This window comes from Homo sapiens, chromosome 3, assembly GCF_000001405.40.
Source record: "Homo sapiens chromosome 3, GRCh38.p14 Primary Assembly".
NCBI classification, from domain to species: domain Eukaryota; kingdom Metazoa; phylum Chordata; class Mammalia; order Primates; family Hominidae; genus Homo; species Homo sapiens.
The window spans coordinates 10,612-31,351 of record NC_000003.12 but is presented as its reverse complement, the minus strand read 5'-3'; the positions used below and the strand labels follow the sequence as shown (position 1 = coordinate 31,351).

Below are 20,740 nucleotides of genomic sequence, written 5' to 3'. Positions count from 1 at the left end.
ATCTTAGTTTCTTATGTAATAATATAAGGTAGTGGAATTAATAATGACTTATTCTGCTTCTCCTGAATGGATCTCAGGAGGAAATAAGCCAATGGCAATCTTGCTTCTGATCCCCACCATTGAGGAGATAGATGGTCCATTGAGGAGCAGACTTGTTTCTCTTGATAGGAGTAAGAGGAACACTATAAGGCACAGCTAAAGATGGAGGAAAACATGCATGCTATTTGGAAAAGCCACTTTGGCTCTTGAGAGCTTGTGAAGACTCAAACAAAGTGAAGTCACAGTGTTACGCGTTTCAAGATGGACTTGACCTTTCACCCTTCCCAAGAGAGAAAGATTGTCTGGCCTAGGAATACAAGTGGATAACAACTTCACAGAGGTGAATCATTATGTCACTTCCTTATTTCCCAATGGATGTAGTAAATAAGGCACCTTTTTAAAATAAAAGACCCAGGGTTGAGTGTCTTATTCGATCAAGTCACATGAGGAGACATGTGAAGATTGGAATAAGTTACATTTTTGTGATTCTAAATCCATTGGTTCAATCGTGGAACGTGAAGAATCTTTTACTGTGTTATCAAGATAGCTCAAGAAGTTGAGCTTGTGAGGACCAAACAATAACAGGTACAATATAATCTGGATATATTTAAAATCTCCGACAGATAGTTCCTAAGAAGGCTGAGAAGTAAGGAGTACCATCAAGGCAATAATAAAATGAGGTTGTTGGGTTGTTTTTAACATATTAAAATAAAACAGAATTCCCTCTTTCCCTTTTATAGAGAGCCGTGTTATGACTTCGACGGGCACAGGTACTTTTATCCTCCTGGTCCCCTTCCTCCAAAAAAGGTTTAAAGTTATATTTTATGAATACATTGTCTTAAAGGTGAATATATTAATATTATGTATTATTTTCTTTGGCCTAAAAGTTCATTTATTTTCTCTGATTAAAAATAAAACACTTTTTTAGGCCCTTAACAGTACCGTGGGCCTTAAGTACTGTGCCTCGTGTATGTGCTAGAAAAGTCAGCCTGCTATTATCTAGTTGTATCCAGAAACTGTGCATCTTCTTTCAATTCAAAATACAGATTCTCATGCCTAGGAGTCACATCTTAGGGAACTAACACGCTAGAAACTGAGATATACCCAGCAAAACATTAAATATAACTTCAAATGATTTTTACCCTCAAATACATTATATCAAGTTTATTTGATTAGCAAATATGTCTGCTACTCAAAGTAGATTCGTTGGTTCCCTTTGAACAATGCTAGCTTTCATCAAGTGTCCTGTGAAGGAAGCTCCAACTCTTGAAGATCCAGATCTTCCACATTCTTACTACCTACTGTGTGCCCATGATTCCTCTCTGCACCACAGCCCTCCTTCATGAAATCAGTGGGTTAGATAAACACAACCACAAGAACATAAGCTCCAAAAGCAGATATTTTTTTTTCTTTTTTGGTTTGTTTTGTTCATTTTTTTCACTGATGAATCTCAAATACCCAGAACTTTGCCTGACACATAGTGAATGCTCAATATGTACTGAATGAACAAAGTTCAGTTGATTTTACTTCCTTTAAATGTCTTTCTACAGCCCATTTTCCATCTCTACTAGTTTTTGTCACCATTGTCTCTTTCCTTCATTGATCCATCTGCCTCTTCTCTGCTCTTGCTAGTATTTCTCCTATGTGCTTTTCTGAGTCTTACTCATAATGCTCAGTTTTGATGATGTAGTCATCGCCATCTTGTTTTAAAGTCTTTTGATGGTTCCTCATCTTCCTTAGAAGCAAACAAACAAAATCCGAACTATTTAAGTATACGGTATTAAAATCTCTTCATGTACCAACACCAGACTATATCTTCTCTTGTCCCAAGTAGGCTACTGAATTCTTTGATAGAATTGAGAATCTGCTCATCTCTTTAGCCTCCAGTTCTCTGCACATGTCATTCTTCTGCATGGATAATCCTTTCTCAAACCTTTCATAAATTCACTTCCCTTGACCCCACACCTAACCTGACTAAGTCCAACCTTCTCTTCCCTTTAGGAATCCTAGGCATTCTCCCCTGTTCTCGTATATCACCTGCAACTTCCTTTTATGATAGCACTTATTTGACTTTATTGTGACTAGGTGTTTGGGTATCTGTTTCTCCCACTACATTGTAAGTTTCTCCAGGGAACAGTCCCACTGTGCAATATTTTATCCCCAGAACCTGGCACAGTATCTAGAGCTTGTAAGAAATGTAATAAACGAGAATGGAGGACTGAATTAATTAATTAGGCTTTGTTACATTTAAAGCAAAATTGATGTACTTCAGGGTTTAACAGATTAAAGTTATGTGTACCACTTCGTGTATTTGTTTATTTACAGTACTTTCAAAGTAATTGGAAATACTTCTATTCTTTATTTTTTATTTATGCATTTATTTTTGGGGAACAGAGTCTCACTCTGTCACCCAGGCTGGAGTGCAGTGGTGCGACCTTGGCTCACTGCAACTTTGTCTCCTGGGTTCGAGCACTTCTCCTGCCTCAGCCTCCCAAGTAGCTGGGACTACAGGCACGTGCCACCATGCCCAGCTAATTTATGTATTTTTAGTAGAGATGAGGTTTCACCATGTCATCCAGGCTGGTCTCTAACTCCTGACCTCAGGTGATCCATCTGTCCTGTCCTCCCAAAGTGCTGGGATTACAGGCATCAGCCACCATTCCTGGCCTCTCTATTCTTAATAGGAAATAATAAGGATGATTCAAGTTAAGATTGTTGAATTCAGATATTATTTTTAGAAGTCTATGTACATTCAATATTGGGGGCATTTTGGAAAATAAATATTTTTATATACTACTCATAAAAATTAAGGTTGATAAGTCCTGTTTGGGAAGATATTTGGCATATCTTGTAAAACTAAAATTCACAGATCCTGTAACCCATTAATCTTACTTTTAGGTGTATACTCTAGTAAAACACAAGTTCACAAGGAGACACACGTAAATGTGCTCATTTGGGTAACAGTAGAAATTAGAAATGGCATGAATGAACACCAATAGGGAAATGACTAAACAAAATTAGGTATAATCACACAATGGAATGATTCATAAAGCAATTAACATTTGTAAGCAGATACATCTTAAAAACATAATGATAACTGCAAAATAGCAAATTGCAAGATAATAAATACCCTATGCAATCATTTCTGTAAATAGAAACCTCACCAATAAAAACAATATGTATTGTTTATACAAATGCATATATGTTTGAAAAACATGAAAATTTGGATGAAATTATATTAAATTAGCCCTTGACAGACATTGCCTCTGGGCAGGAGTGTAAGTGATGAGACTTAGGGAGTAGTCAAAGAGATTTTAATTTTATTTACAGCATTTTCATTTCTTCATTTTTGTAAATGCCAGTGATGAAATGGGCATTAGTTGTACAGATTATACACTTATCTATGTATTTTATAGTTCCTGCAAAAAGAGAAGGTGATGGACACCCAACCATGCTCTAAGTTTTGGAGTTGAAGCCAGCAGTGGGGTGCCGGGGGTGGGAGGGTGGTGGTGAGGAGAAAGATATGCCACCAAGTAGTGCAAAGGTACAGCATCAAACCCTACCTGTAGGGGTGAAAGATGTCAAGGCAGAGAGATTTGCATGCCCCACAAGTTACCTTTAGAGGATGCCATGACACTCTCGAGGGAGTTGAAAGAGGCTCATGAGTACTGCAAAACTAATGGTCTAGGATAAAGAAATAAAATGATTGCTGTGAAAAGAAAGGAACAAAACTGGCAAAATGATGTTTGCTGTTGCTGAAGCTAGAGAGTGAAAGGCAAACAAGCTGCGTCCTAGGTCTGCTTCCTACAGATAAGATTTCTCTGAATGTAAGGGTCAGTGCTCTGAATATTCAAACATCAGTCAGTAGTCTTAAACTATAAAACAAAAAGCATCCATAAACACATGACCCACAGGATGGCTTTGTGCCATCATTACTGACAGGTTTCTTAAAAGGAGATTAAAAGACACTGTACTCAGTTTTCCTATAGACAAATGAAAGTGACAAGGATGAGAAACATGCAGTGTGTAGTGTAGATAAAGGAAAAGAAGATTTTCCAACAAATACATATTCTGCTGACAGAATGAAAAAGAAGCAAAAGAGAAAGAAGTACGGTTATGAATGTTGAGGATCACAGTAATTAAAATGGACTTTGGGAATGAGTGTTGTGCTGTTATCAAAGAGAGTATAGTTTTAAAGAGAAAGGCCCATGATCCAGAGTGCTGAATGGCTGGGTGATTTTTAAACTGGAGCCTTCTAAGTCTGTTAATTTATTTACTGGCTATGATAAAATCCAGAAAAGTATCAATCGCTATAGCATTCAGTTGTATTTATACAGAAGGTCAAATATTACAAGCCTGCTGTTCAAGAAAATAAACATGTGGATAAGCAGAAGGCATAATTATTAAAAGCAACGAAGCTAGGTTTAATTCTAGCACTGCCTCTGGTTGGCCCTTTCAGTTTGGGTAAGCTGCCCAGTGAATCTGTTTCTCAGTCTCCTGTCCTGGAAATAAGAAAATCAAAACAAATGCACCATTAAATCCCTTTCTGTCTAATATTTTGGAAATTTATTCAATCTTTCTGATATGCTGTGGAAATAAGAAGAAAAAGGTGTTTTGTGGAAGAAAATACATTATTTTAGTGAATGATAGCAGATACATGTTATTGTATTTTACTTTTTTTGTGTTTTGAAAGAAAGTCTTGGTCTGTCATCCAGACTGGAGTGCAGTGGCACAATCATAGCTCACTGCAGCCTCAAACTCCAGGGCTCAAGGGGCCCTGCTGCCTCAGTCTCCCAAATAGCTGGAACTACAGACACCTGCCACCAGACCTGGCTAATTATTATTATTAATAATTATTATTTTGTAGAGGTGGAGTTTGTTGCCCAAGCTGGTCTCAAACTCCTACCCTCAAGCAATCTTCCCACCTCAGCTTCCCAAAGTGGTTACTGCACTTTATAAATTTCTTAAGTAATATATGCTTTCCAAATCATGTATGCAGGACTCATAGGTATTAGAAAATTACTGGATTGCAAAATTGAATATGGAAACCTACTGTCTGGCATTTTACTTTCCTTTCTTTGATATGCTAGAAGAATAGCTACAAATATTTCCTTTTAATTTCTAACATGATTTGAAGATTGGGCTCTCCTTTCCCGCAAATAAATAAAAATTAATTTTGGAATTAGTGATGATTTTGGTGTGCCATTTAGATAGGTATCAAGGTTTATTTTGAAATAACAAAAGAAGGAAAGAGCTTGAATTGTACACCTATCTCCTATGCACATTCCATTGGCCCAAATTTGGTCACATGGACACATCTAACTGTAAGGGAGGCTGGAAAATGTAGTCTTCAGTGGGCAGCAATGTACCCAAGTATAACTGGAAGTATTTTCTTACTAAAAGAAAAAAAAAGTGGATACTGCTTGGTAAGGCAGTTCCTAAAGAAGGGAGTAAGTCTAGCACCCTGAAAGAGCTGAGTAGGAAATCTGACAGAGCGAAAAAAGGAAACGTTTTAAGTGTGCAACTGCCATGGGAGTGCTAAGCCATACTGAAGAACACCCAGTTTTCACTGCACAAGCACCTCCTGTCCCTTGTTTCCAAGGTATAGGTTGTTAAAAGAAAAACTGTAGCCAAATTAAATTTAAAAGAGTTTAATTGAGCAAAGAGTGAATCAGGCAGTCTCTCTGAGCCACAATGGGCTCAGAGACTCCAGTGCAGCCACCTGGTAGAAGAAGATTTATGGACAGGAAAAAAAAGAAAGTGACATATGGAAAATGGAAGTGAGGTACAGAAGCAGCCGGACTGGTGACGCTCAGTGTTTGCCTTATTTGAACATGGTTTGAATAGTTTGCCACCTTTGATTGGCCAATCAAAGTTTTCTCAGGGATTGGCACAAGAGTAGACTATAGTCTGTTTACAACTCCATTTAGGTTATAGTACATGATGTATGGAAAAACCTTTAGGATGAACTTAAAATATGTAAGGAGGCAGCTTTTGGCTATACTTGATTTAACACTATCAATTTTACTCAAGGGGTCTGGTGAAAATTTTGCTTCATCAGCATTCAGGAACCCTCTCACTGGCAACAGAAACGCCATTCTATACCACAAGTCTATTCTTGGGCTCTGATAAACTCTGTATGGCCGGACACTGGAAAACACAGGAGAATAGGTGTGGAGCTCTGGACAGCTAGGGTAGTGATCCACTTGAAGAAGCCAAAGACTCCACCATAAATTGGAATAAAAATTAATAATATATTTGCTACTAATATTTGTATAGACATGTCTTAATATGAAAAAAGCAATGTACACATATAATTTAAATGTAATATAAAGCCTATATAGGGCAGACCAAATATTATCATAAATAGAGCAGGACCATAGTTTGAAACATCACCATTAAGTAGAAAATTTTGTTAGTAGGTGCCAAGGTGATAGATATTAATTATAGGTAAGAAAATTAATTTTCTTTTAAATGTTTTATTTGTTAATTACTTTCATAAAAATTGTACAATCCCAAGTGTAGATTTGCTCACTTTGGCATGAGAAGAAACTTCTGTGGATGTGTGTGTTGAATGAGAAATGTGTTTCTTTAGCTCAAACGTTTTGTTCCATTTTTAGCAACAAGAAATAATTTCTCCTGACCGATTATACCTGAGATAAAATGGAATTGTTATGAGGAAAACTTTTCCATAGCTGTATATATACCTAAAACATATTTATCAGTGAAAAGGCTGCTTTAAAAATATTATACACGGTATTTTCATTTTCATTAATTGCTTTAGTGTGGAAGTAATTCACTAGGAAGCATATGAGATGTTCTCTCTCCCAAGACTCTTTTAATTTTATGGAAAGCCACATACAGTGTTTTACAAAAATTATATTTTTTTAAATTTAGGAGAGAAAAAAAGGTTTTTTCATGTCTGTTTTACCACTTGACAGTATTTTGACTGCCTAGAAGCTTTGAATATCCTGTGTATGTTGGCTAATTTTCCAGCTTATAAGCCTGATCCTTCCCAAGGTAGAAGCCAGAAATTAAGTTCTCAACCTCTCTTAGAGTTGGGATAGAGGCACGTGACTTACATGTTACCAATTAAGTATATACATGCCAGTTTTTGACTATAAAACTACAAATTGAAGAAACAGATACCATGCCCGCTCCACTTCTGTTCTGGTGGTTTCACATCTATCCAGTTTCTGAAGACCTCACCAGCAAAAATTTTAGTGTTATTCGCCAAAATCCAGTGTGTTGTCTGTTGCCAAGGGTTACTGAAGCAGTTATGAAGTCTGATTTTGATTTTCTTCTTTGATTCATAGGCTGGTTTTCTGTCTGATCTTCAAGATTGCTTGAGAGAGAAGAATGGGAATTTCATTGAGTATATAATTATTTATTTTATACATCTTACTTTTTTTTACTGTATTCAGAGTAAACATATTCCCATTCACTAAATCACTTATGAATATATAATTTTAAATAACTGCACAGTATTTCCCATTTTACCTTTCAAATCTGTGTTTCATCTTTTTCACACTGCTTTCTTTCTGGAGCTAATCTGTGTATATGAAATAAAACAGCTCCTTAGATCTCTGGTTTCAGGTGGGTTTGGACAATGGGGAACTAGGGTAAAATAGCAGAGAAAGGAGGAGGCCTGAAGTCAGGCATTTGTATTCACCTTGTTCCTTCTTACTGGATTAACTCTGATTGGCTGCTGCTCTCAAGGAGAGTCACTTTTCATCCAGATTTTGTTAATTACTCCTTATCCATTCCAGCCCGGACATTGCATTCCTTATGATTTCTTGTCACACACTTAGATCCTCTTCAAATAGCTTAAATTTGTGACAATTATGTCTTTTCTTTAGGGTCTCTGACTGGAGCAATATTCCATTGTAGAAATATATCATAATGTATGTCACTATTTTCCTAGTGCTTTACATTTAGGATTCTCTTGATTATTTTAAATCTAAACATTGCTATAATTAGATACTAATATATAATTCTGATGGTTGTCTCTACTTATTTCTTAATTATATTTTCTAATTGCTGCTACGCAGAGACTCTGACTTTTTTTTAGTATGGATCTCTTACATTCACCTACATTGCTAAAATCTAATTTGCTGTAATAGTTTAGCTGTAGAATTTCCTGAATTTTTATGGAGACAATCCTATCAGCTGTAATTAAAATTTTGCATCTTTCTTTCTAATATATCTACTTTCCATTTATGTTTCATATCTTATTGCATTGTCTGGGAAATTTAGTAACATGTTGATTATACTGTTTTATTTTAAGTTAAATTGTACATCTTTATGGGGCACAGGTGCTATTTTGATAAACATACAATGCATAATGATCAAATCAGGGTATTTAGGATATCTATAAGCTCAAACATTCACCATTTCTTTGTGTTGGGTACATTTCAAATCTTCTCTTCTAGCGATTTTGAAATATACAACGTATTATTGTTAATTGTAGCCACCTTGCTTATTCCTTAGATCTAACTGTATTTTGTATCAATTAACCAATGTCTCTATACCTCCCCTACTCCAAGCTGTTTTAATGGGCATATTTTCTTCCTGATTTCAAAGAGACTGATTCTTAATTTTACCACTAAATATAAGCCATTGCTTTAGCATACATTTCTAGATGTTGAATTATTCAAACGGTATAAATATTTTAAAGCTTTTTGGAATATATTATGAAATTTCTCTGCAGAAAATTACAACATTTTATACCATCATCAATAGTTCCTGACAGTGCCTTGACTCACATAACCTTGCCAGCATTAGCTGTGAATTAGATGTATTGTGTTATTTGTAACTAGATTACCTTTCTCTGCTTCACGGCCACACTTGAACCCTAATTTACCACAAGAAAAACAATAACAAAAAGTAGGAATAAGATTCTGCTGAGAATTGATCGAGACTATTGCCCTTGTTGTTAGCTGACAGCATATCCCATGTGCTTTATTTATTTATTTATTTATTTATTTATTTATTTATTAATGTTTGAGACAGCGTCTCTCTCTGTTGCCCAGGCTGGAGTGCAGTGGTGCTGTCATAGCTCACTGCAGCCTCATCTCCCAGGCTCAGGCGATCCTCCTGCCTCAGCCTCCCAAAGTGCTGAGATTACAGGTGTAAGGGACTGCGCCTGGCCTCTATTTACTTTAAAATAAAGACAAATATTTTTATTTTCTAAATTTATGAAATCAGATTTTATACGTTAAAATATTTCTAAAGCATTTTAATCATTGGGAACATTTTTTTTCTTTCACATAAAGGCCCTTAAAATTTAGAAACCACCCCTAAGCTTAGGGGTATTGTTTTTCTCTAACATAAACACTAGATACTTTAAGAAAATAAAATGAGAAAACCAATTTCACTCTACCTAATACACACAGTTTTCTAAAGTGAGATGTTTGTCCCCTAGCTACATAAATGTAAGTCATAAAAAATATTAAATGTTGACAGTTTTACTCCACCTGAAATTTACATTAGGTAATCCCTGGGCTATAGAAGGTATAATGTCTATGACAGAACACATTAAAAACATACATATAAAACATATACCTGCCTTTTGTCTCAGAAGGCTGCATGACTTTTATCTCATCCCATAAATAATGGAGGCATCAGCACATTTTATCTGCACACAATAACAAATCCCATCCTCTTGGTAATTGTAAAAACACTGAAGCCTCTTATTGACCTTGTGCAAAATACAGTCATGGGATAGAAAGACAAAGAAACTTTTTGTCTGTCTATATCTTCAATTCAAAGTGCCTGAAAATGTGCTCAATAAATATTAATTGACAAGGCAAGACATTGGGCCATAGATAGTATTCATTGTTCTAGCAAAGATAATTATCCAAACAGCCAAGTGTCATTTCTTTTTTCAAAATTCTAGCGTGTCTCATTATTTACTCAAAGTAATTGCCCAAATCCTTGCTAGGAAGGAACTCCAAGGTCTGACTCCACGCCCACCCTCAACCTTTCCCTGACCTTATCTCCATCTTCTATATCCCTCAGTCTCTTCAGTCCAGTCACAATGGCCTGCCTATTGTACTCAAAAGCCCACATCAGCTTGTTCTTTATGGTTTTCTTTTCCTATTAACTCTTCCTGAAAGTTCTTCCCACCTTATTTCCTCCTACAAGTCTTCACTCAAATCTCATCTTATCAACGAGTCCTATGAAAAGCACTGTATTTAATTTTCCAACCAGCTGCCACCTGACACTTCAATTCCTTTTCCCTTGTTTTACTTCAATTTTTTCTGCAGCACTTACCACTTTTTAACATGTTGTTTACTCAATAATTATATTTATTTGTTATTTTCTCATTATAATTACAAGTTCAATGAAAGCAGAAACCTTGTCATTCTTGATTGCTGCTATATCCGAAACAGCTACAACAAGCTATATAGTCAATAGTTTCTGAAAGAATGAATGAATAAATAATAATGATAAATAACAATGGTTAATGCTATCTGAGAGCATCTATTTGCCAAGAACATTAAGTGTTAAACTACCTACTAGTATGATCACATTTTTTTCATTTAAGCCTCATAACAATTGTTTAAGGGAATAGGAATTTATAGTAAGTAACAGGCTACAGGTTTCCTAACCATAACTGGTCATCTAACCCAAGTCTCCAGACTCTTGCTTCATATTGCTATGGCTGAAACATAGAGAAAAACATGTCTACTCTGATTATAGTTAAGACATACCAGCATCCAACAATGAAGTCATAGCACATGGAATGTATTCACTGCAGAAAAAAAAATTTTTTGTGAAGCATGTTGGAATTTGATCAAAAATCTAAATTTTGATTCAAGATTGAAATTAATATGCTACAGCAATACTTCTAAGAAAACAAAAAAAATCTTCCTAAATTATTTGTTGTTCTATTAGGGGCAAATTATGATTGGATTTATAAACTAAACAATTGTTCAAAGACATATGTAACTAATTTATATGAACTCTTTTACACTCAAGTTGTACAATTTTTTGTAATACCTCTATTATACTAAATTACACTTTAATTCAAAAATATTTCAATGATTAAATATTTTGAAGTTTCATTTTGGATACCTATATAGCTTTTCTGTCATATTACTAATATATTATAACCTTCTTTTTGCATTGCTGAAATCAGATGTCAGAGGTCACTTAAGAAGGCTTTAAACATGCCAACCACATGCATTAGATTCCAGTAAGCTTAGAATCCCTATATTTCTTCAACTGCCTAATTATAATCAAGTATTTTCAAATGCAATCTTATTTTGAACACACCTGAAGATGAAATTGTAGCAAGTAAGAAAAATTCTCCAACTTATCAAAATCTCTACCTATAAAATTTTCTCTGTAAAAGCAAATGAAAACAACTAGGAAAATGTATATTTTAATTCAGCGAAACTGTAGCTATGACAAAATGGAAAATGGCTCCCCTATGAAAGGCAGTCTCTTTGTTAAAGTGCTGACACGCCAAAGATAAGTTACTTATTGTTTTTTTACATTAAAAATAAAATAATTATTTCAAGGAATTAAAAACAAGGTAAAGAGTTAGGCTGCATTACATAAAACCAATGAAGACAAAGATAGTTTACAAAACCATGTGTGTTCTATGGTATTCATTAAAGCAAAAGCACTAGGTTTCCTGTTTTGATAACTCAGGACATTTATTATTGCAGTTTGGAAGGCTACTCCTTCATAAGAACACTTTGGGGAGACTGCTAACAGGACCACTTTTCTTCATGTATCTTTTTTCTCATTTTAAAACACTGTGGTAAAATATACATAGTATAAAATTTTTAATGGTACAGTTCAGTTAAGTATATTCACATTGTTGTACAACCAGCTTTTTTTTTCCTTTACACCTACAAATAAAACATTATCATTCTACCTGCTTTATCAAATCTTGTTCATCCAAGTCACACATTAAGGAACAGTTAGGGTTGGGAAGAAATTTCTTAGGAAATTCCAGGACCTCCTAATTTATATTTCCCAAGTGAAGTGCATAATACAAGACCATTGAAAGGCCTGGGAATTCAGACCCCTTTGCCTGTTTCTAATAATAGCTGTCATTTTGTTTTGTTTTGTTTTGGCTTGTTTCTGTAAATTTATGTCTACCTCATGACCATATCCCAAAGTACGTTCCTTGGAGCATCAGTTCTTGGGGTGTCCATAGGTGTTACCCAGAAAAGGAGTATGTGATCAAACAAATTTAGACCCACTCGATTAAACGTGTGTCCTTTCTGCAGAGTTTCTTAGAACTTCTCATACACTGGTGGGCATTGTGGCTGTCTAAGTCAGACGGGTGGCCTGCAGGTTTCACAAAGATCTTGGACCACTGAATTCTGTTATTGCTTGAGAATATTTTAAAACTGTTTTGCAAAGGAGTACACCTTGGAAAACATGAGATAACAGTTCTATACCTCTGTCATTTTCATTATTAAAGTATTTTTTGGCATGAAAAACTTCTTTTTAAAGAAAACATGTGGTTTGATGTTTCATCATCTTGGAACCTTCTGTCACTTTCCACATCCACCACCTTGTGCTAAACTGTCCACCTGTTCACTGCAAAACTCCTCACCTTTTTGCCATTTGTTCACTCTGCCCAGTATTTTTACTTTCAAAGTTTTACCTCCTTTCACAAGAGGTTATGTCAGGAAATATACAATCGAAGTGAGAAGGAGAAAGAAATTCATTACATAAGTCTTAAAGGAAAAAACAGAAAATCCAAAGCATATTGAAAGAAAGCCTTGCAAGAGAGGAGGCTCAAGAGCTTTATGTCATAGCAGGACACCAAGAAAGTTCTAAGAAGGCCATATCAGAATGCCCTCTGCCGACTTTCAACCCCAGGATCAACACTTCACATGCATTAGCAGAGAGAGATAAATCAATGCTTTTCATGTTTGGTGCTGTATCTGTTTTGTCCCCTACCCCAACCCCAATCCACCACTGCTTTGAAGAACAGGTTGACCTCTCCAGATTCTGGGAGGAGATCCGTGTATTCGGTCTGCTCTGACTGTGGATGAGGACAGGTCCCAGACTCCAGACAGTCCCTACTAGTTAGAGCAGAGCACAGCAGCTACCCAGCATGGCCTACTTAAAATTGCTTGTCTCCGTATTAAATTTTGGTCTCCCGCGAAATCAATATTGAGGCACCAACATTTAATAAAAAGGTTCCGGGCATTTTTAGCAATATTTATTTACAGTTTATGCTCTGATAGGCAACGAACCAACTCCATCAGCATTGGGAAGGCTTTCATTTTTTGAAAAAAAAAGATGGTTAAACACTTCATTTTCTTCTAACAGATTCATCCACGTGAGCTCTACTCATCATAATATGCTCCAAGAACAGACTGAAACTGCAGGAGATGCAATGCCAATTTTCTCAGTGCCAATTATTGATTCTAAGAGATCCAACAGCACTTCTTGTGGCAGGGAGCCCTGGGTCACCAGAATGCCCAGGTGTCTTTGTACGTCAGGCTTTTGTGATTTGAGACTTGATGGTGGCTCTGCGCCACGTCAAGCACAAAGGCTTGTCCAGTGCTCTCAGCGTGTTCATCTATCCCTGTGCCTTCAGTGGAATGTCATCTATGACATTAATATTCCTTTGCCTCCTAGCTAACATTCACGTGGAGTCATGATTTCTTTGCCTACTCCTAATTTTTCTGGACTTACAATGTCCTGAAAAGCCAGGTAAATGGCTCTCCCTGCTTTGTTCATTAGATACAGAGTGATGTTACTTTCACTAAATACAATTTTTCTGAGGCAATATTCTCATTGAGTCCCAATCTGCTCTTCTCACACAAACGATACTCCATCAGGAGAAGCTGCATGCAGAGTAAAAGGGTAAATCAGTCATCATCTATATGACTTAAGCTACAATAACCTACATACAACCTCAAATTTAAGAAGGATATTTTGCCTTTTGTTAATAGAATGCCTGGAATGCAGTGGTGTGATCTCAGCTCACAGCAACCTCTACCTCCTGGTCTCAAGTGATCCTCCCACCTCAACCTCCAACGTAGCTGGCACTACAGGTGGGCACCACCATACCCGGCTATTTTTTTTTTTTAATTTTTTGTGGAGACAGAGTTTCACTATGTCGCCTAGGCTGGTCTTGAATTCCTGGACTCAAGCGATCCTCCCACCTAGGCCTCCAAAAAATGCTGGGATTACAAGCATGAGCTACTGTGCCCAGCCTGTAAAAAAAATTTTTTTAATAATATTGACAAAAGAAATGTCCGTTAGTGAGAACCCATGTATGTCAGTGTTAAAAATTCAAGTCAGAATTGCTTAAATGAAAGGAATACCTTACCTTACTTATAACTAAAAATTCAAGGGTTGGAAATTTAAAAAAACTGAGTTTTTAAAGTTTTAATTATGTCTCTCTTTTCTTTTCAATTTCTTCATCTTTGCATGCACCTTCTTTATTTGTTCATTTGTTTTTAGAGACAAGGCCTCACTCTGTTGCCCAAACTGGAGTGCAGTGGCAAGATCACAGTTCACTGCAGCTTCAAACTCTTGGGCTCAAGCAATCCTCCTGTGTGAGCCTCCCAAGTAACTGGGACTACAGATGTGAGCCACCAAATCCAACTCACTTTTTTTGTTTGTTTGTTTGTTTTTTGTAGACATGAGGTTTTGCTATGTTTGCCAGGCTGGTCTCAGTCAAACTCCTAGACTCAAGTGGTCCTCCTGTCTTGGCCTTCCAAAGTTCTAAAATTACTGGTATGAGTCATTACGTCTGGCTTCACCTTCTATGTTATTCTTTTGCATTGTGAAACTGTTGAGCCATATAGGTGCAGTCATAGAAACTATTCTTCCCCAGTTGAAATTATCCCAGTTGAAAGGCTAGAAAGAAAACATCTCTCCCCATGTAGCCATCTCTGAAGTCTCTGAAAAGCATTGTGATTGTCTATTTTGTTCTGCATCTGTTTCGGAGCCAATCACTATGGCTATATAAGGAAGAGAGAGTAATTAACTATCCTATCAAAGTATTTGGACTGAAAGTAGAGACATCCTAAAAGAAAGGGAATAATGTTACCAAGGTAGATATCAAGTGCTGAATTGAGAAAAAGAAAGGCAAAGAAAGGGTTTATTAGTGCTCTGAATTCCAACTAAAGGAAGGCAGAACTGAGAGAAGGTGGAAATTTCTCCTAGCACTGTAAACTCACAGGGAATACAGGCAAACAAACCAATGGGGCATTCTACAACAATACAGACTGTGTAGAATTCTTACTTCCAATCAGAAGTTTCTAATGAAGAAATTAACCTTGCTGCTTTTCATCCAAACTAAAATGTGTGTGTGCAGACATTCCCCCAACACAAATCATATTTAATATATGGAATAAAATCTCCAGGGATAAATGGTTTCTCTAGTTTTGTGGGTAAATAATTCTTTATCCTAATAGATAAAGAATTTTGCTTCATCCTAATAGATAAAGAATTTTGTTTTATCCATTAGGGAGCGCTGTTACTCTTTAACTCTTTTCTAAACTTAGCAAAAATATAGACAAACAAAAGCAGAAATGCACCAGTGTTTGCTTTCTTTGGGAGATCTTCTCACTTCCAGAAAAAGATATCTCTATCCTCCCAATCTCCATAATTCTTAGTTTGTACCATTCATAAGAGACTAAAATGGTTCTATTTTGAATTTGAGTTAATTATGACATTTTTACATATCCTGTTTGTAAATTTTTTGAGTAACATCTACCTAAAAGACAACAGCATAAATAGCTAATTTTGAGCAACTTCTGTGGTCAAGTTATATACTACTTATGTGAGTGTGTCTGGTTTGAAATACATCTATGAGATAGATTCATCCAATTTTAAGATGACAAAGCTGTGGATCACAAAAGTAGACGAACTTGTCCATGATCAACTGCTAATGAAAGACATATCCAAGATCCGAACCCCCAAAAGTGTTGCTCCAAAGCTCCTGAAATAGTCTGAAGGGGGTATGATAAGAGAGACACCAGTTTGATGTGTACGGCTGTGATTCAGGTGACAGAAGACAGTGGCTTAGACTGTGAGGATGGCAGAGAAATGTAGAAAATGAGATGGATTTAAGGATATTTTAGGATGGCATCAACAGATCTTCATGTGAAGGTTAAGCTCTGTTCCATCCATCAATGTTTCAGTCTTTTGGAAGTAGTTAGGAAACATGCTGTGGAGGAGAGGTGGAGAGTGGAAGAGGTAATAAGGCTCCTTAGAGTATTTACACCTCTTCCACCTCGGACTCTCTCCTGAAAGTCTCAGGTAGTCATTATGTTAAGAGCACACGGGAACTTATGAGAGAGGGAGCACTTGGATGTGCGATTCCTTCAGGGCTCAAAATGAGAGGCAGGGTATTGGAAAAGGAGACTTTGAGGATGAAGCAATCAGTCATGTTGAGATAAAGAACTCCAAAGACAGGAGAGAAGTTTCCCCATTAACTGTAATGCCAAGAAAACTGTGAGTCATTGGCCACTCCCTCCAATACTTGCCTGTCACATTCACATCGGTGTTGCCTATGAATATGTAGATACTCTCAGGAAATGTGTAACCCTGTGGAGAGTGAATGCAAATTTAAACTCATATTTTACTTTTTGGAAGGCATTCATCACCTTAAACTGTATTAATGAATACCTAATTAAGGTTGCAGAAATCTTGTTAAATTTTCAAAACCAAAATTAACTTTCATAGGATGATGATAACTCAGTCATCCATTAAAGTGGTCATAATTGTCTATTAGTCTAGTGTCACTTTAGTACCAGAGAAAGGCCTAAAGTTAAATGGTTTCTATTCTGGGGACCATTTTCAGATTTGAGTTGAGAAAATAATATAAAATAGAAGAATTTGAGGTCTGTGTGTACCAGACTAAATTAAGTATTTCCAGCAACAATGCGAATGTAATCTATTTCCTTCTGTATATATATTATTCCCTCTCTAATTTTTTTCTTCCCTCCCTTCTTTTCTTCATTCTTTCCTTTTTTCCTCTTTTCTTTTTTTTTTTTTTACTTTCCCTGTGTCTCTTTGTCACTCTATTCTTCCATTCTACTTTAATAGTTAGAAAAAAGAAAATCTGTATTTTTCCCAAAATAATCCAGCAGAGGGCAAATGTTCTTTGCCTGAATTTTTTAAACCTGAATGAAAGTGAATTCTGAAGCCCTGCCTTTCTCTTTCAACATGAGGCAAATACTAGATATGCACACTTTCCTGGGTCCCTAAATGTTCTTTCTTCTCTCGCAGTTCTTTCTAGTTAACAAGACCATGGTGAACACACTAAGAGATAATGATCTCTCTTTTTTATATTAACCTGTTTGTTATTTCTAAATAAAAATGTGCTCTATTAGACATATTTTCAAAACCAGTTAAAAATGAAGTAATCTCCATGTCTAATTTTATGTCTCTATAAAACTCCTTTCCCTAAATGTGTAAGGAAGCATCAAATAGTACAGTTAGAAACTTCTTTGTCTTGTAAACAAGGAGACAAAAAGCAGCATTAAAAAAGTAGTTGTATTAAAGCTCATAAAAGTTATGGCTCAATTTTAATCAGTGTAGTGTGGCCGCTTTGTATCTATGTCTGTGAGCAGTAGTTTTACCCTATGCAGAAGTTGTTTCTGGAAGATACACTGTGGAATTACTTGTGAGCTTCCTGTTGGCTTTGGATTAACAAACTTCTCTTCAATCTTTAAATGAGAGAAAACGTAGCATACATTTGTGTTACTGATTTTTAACAAAAAGAATAAAAAATTTAACCTATGTGGAGTAAAATCATTTTTAAGATTCAGTACTTAGTGTATTGATACCTTAGAAGGCTTGCTTCAATTCAAAGTGCTTGTTTCTAGAGCTTTGGTAGTACTGTTTTCTTAGTTATTTGTCATGTAGATAGATTGGTTGGTTGGTTGATTTTAATTTTAGGAATAGCACACAAATGCAGTGTCTTCAATGTTTTTTTTTTTGAGACGGAGTTTCGCTCTTGTTGCCCAGGCTGGAGTGCAATGGCGCAATCTCGGCTCACCATAACCTCCTCCTCCCGGGTTCAAGCGATTCTCCTGCCTCAGCCTCCCTAGTAGCTGGGATTACAGGCGCCCACCACCACGCCCAGCTAATTTTTTATATTTTTAGTAGAGACGGGGTTTCTCCATGTAGGTCAGGTTGGTCTCGAGTTCTCTACCTCAGGTGATCCACCCGCCTCGGCCTCCCAAGGTGCTGGGATTACAGGCTTAAGCCACTGCACCTGGCCCAGTGTCTTCAATTTTTATTTTATTTTATTTATTAATTGATTGATTTTTGAGACAGAGTATCACTCTGCTGCCCAGGCTAGAGTGTAGTGGCACAGTCTCAGCTCACTGCAGCCGCCCACCTCTTGGGTTCCATCAATTCTTATGCGTCAGCCTTCTGAGTAGCTGGGATTACAGGTGGGTGCCACCATGTCTAGCTAATTTTTGTATTTTTAGTAGAGACAGGGTTTCACAATGTTGGCCAGGCTGGTCTTGAACTCCTGACCTCAAGTGATCTGCCAGCCTTAGCTTCCCAAAGTGCTGGGATTACAAGCATAAGCTACCATGCCCAGCCAGTGTCTTTAATTTTTAACTTAAGAGCAATATACAGTGTAAAGCAGAAGTCATTCATTCATTCATTCATTCAACAATAACTTCTGAGCTCCTACATACCTACAAAGTACTGCCTCTGCAATCCTTATCCTCATTAAGGATGTGAAGATATGGTTCTTTTGCCCATGAAGCTTTTGGTCTGGAAGTTTCTCTTCACATTTTTTCCTCAATTATCAATTTAGTGCAAATTATTTCATACCATTTGATATCCATTTTTATACATATATGCCTTTTAAACATATGTGTGTGTTTTCACATAAGTGGAATTCAACTATTTAAGTTGTATCATGGGATTTGGTCTTCCCTTGCCTCCAGGCAAAACCTTGGTTAACTTAGTTTATAATATTTATGGTCACTTTTAAATAATACGAATAGTATAGATTTAGAAAGTACAAATAGTGTACAAATAGTACAGAGTTAGAAACTATACTTTTTCATTTGATTATCAAAATGGCAAAGTTGTTTTCGAGTACGGTAGAGGGAAGCCTTTAATGAAGAAAGGGGGTTGTGGTTGGCTTTTTCATCCTTTCTTCTACTCCTAGAAGTTTACTTCCTTCCCCTGCTTTGCTGACATTAGTTCTGGTCCCGGATGATGTTGGGTGAATAGTGGAGAGAAAAGGATGACAGCGAAGGGGTGGTGAAGAAAGTTCTTAATTGATGTGATTCAGGAGAGGGGCAGCGAAGTGCTGAGTAGAGAAGGGCAGGATCCCTGGCAAGGGCTACAACCTCGGGCCTGTGCCCATGGACCTAAATGAGGACAGGCATTTCTGTTTTTGCCCACCAAAACAGTTTTGCCTTTTGGCCCCCCATCCTGTGCCCATCAAAACCCGAGACTGTCGCGGGCACACACACAAACAGCTGTACGTCGAGAAAGAGCACACGGCCAGACACCAGCAGACACCCGCAGGCCATCGACTGACCAAGGAACAAAGTAGACGTCGTTGTGTCTCTCTGCGCCTGCGCCGGCGCTGCGCCTGCGCCGGCGCCGCGCGCCTCTCTGCGCCTGCGCCGGCGCCGCGCGCCTCTCTGCGCCTGCGCCGGCGCCGCGCGCCTCTCTGCGCCTGCGCCGGCGCCGCGCGCCTCTCTGCGCCTGCGCCGGCGCCGCGCGCCTCTCTGCGCCTGCGCCGGCGCCGCGCGCCTCTCTGCGCCTGCGCCGGCGCCGCGCGCCTCTCTGCGCCTGCGCCGGCGCCGCGCGCCTCTCTGCGCCTGCGCCGGCGCCGCGCGCCTCTCTGCGCCTGCGCCGGCGCCGCGCGCCTCTCTGCGCCTGCGCCGGCGCGCGCGCCCTCTCTGCGCCTGCGCCGGCGCCGCGCGCCTCTCTGCGCCTGCGCCGGCGCCGCGCGCCTCTCTGCGCCTGCGCCGGCGCCGCGCGCCTCTCTGCGCCTGCGCCGGCGCCGCGCGCCTCTCTGCGCCTGCGCCGGCGCCGCGCGCCTCTCTGCGCCTGCGCCGGCGCCGCGCGCCTCTCTGCGCCTGCGCCGGCGCCGCGCGCCTCTCTGCGCCTGCGCCGGCGCCGCGCGCCTCTCTGCGCCTGCGCCGGCGCCGCGCGCCTCTCTGCGCCTGCGCCGGCGCCGCGCGCCTCTCTGCGCCTGCGCCGGCGCCGCGCGCCTCTCTGCGCCTGCGCCGGCGCCGCGCGCCTCTCTGCGCCTGCGCCGGCGCCGCGCGCCTCTCTGCGCCTGCGCCGGCGCCGCGCGCCTCTCTGCGCCTGCGCCGGCGCCGCGCGCCTCTCTGCGCCTGCAGAGAGGGTTACGGTTAGGGTCGGGGTCGGGGTCGGGGTCGGGGTCGGGGTCGGGGTCGGGGTCGGGGTCGGGGTGAGGGTGAGGGTGAGGGTGAGGGTGAGGGTGAGGGATAGGGTTGGGGTTGGGGTTGGGGTTGGGGTTGGGGTTAGGGTTAGGGTTAAGGGTTAGGGTTAAGGGTTAAGGGTTAGGGGTAGGGGTAGGGGTAGGGGTAGGGGTAGGGTTAGGGTTAGGGTTAAGGGTTAGGGTTCGGGTTCGGGTTCGGGTTCGGGGTTAGGGTTAGGGTTAGGGTTAGGGGTTAGGGGTTAGGGTTAGGGTTAGGGTTAGGGTTAGGGTTAGGGTTAGGGTAGGGTTAGGGTTAGGGTTAGGGTTAGGGTT

At 39.0% G+C, this 20,740-nt stretch overlaps 1 long non-coding RNA gene across 1 annotated transcript; it reads right to left on the bottom strand.

The window, feature by feature from the left end:
- Nucleotides 1-6,850: 6,850 nt before the first annotated feature.
- Nucleotides 6,851-19,601, bottom strand: LINC01986 (long intergenic non-protein coding RNA 1986). Its single transcript, NR_110824.1, has 4 exons — nucleotides 19,553-19,601; nucleotides 16,521-16,581; nucleotides 7,540-7,591; nucleotides 6,851-7,384 (listed from the first exon to the last, which is right to left on the bottom strand). It is a non-coding gene; the product is annotated as a long intergenic non-protein coding RNA 1986 (long non-coding RNA).
- Nucleotides 19,602-20,740: the final 1,139 nt, after the last annotated feature.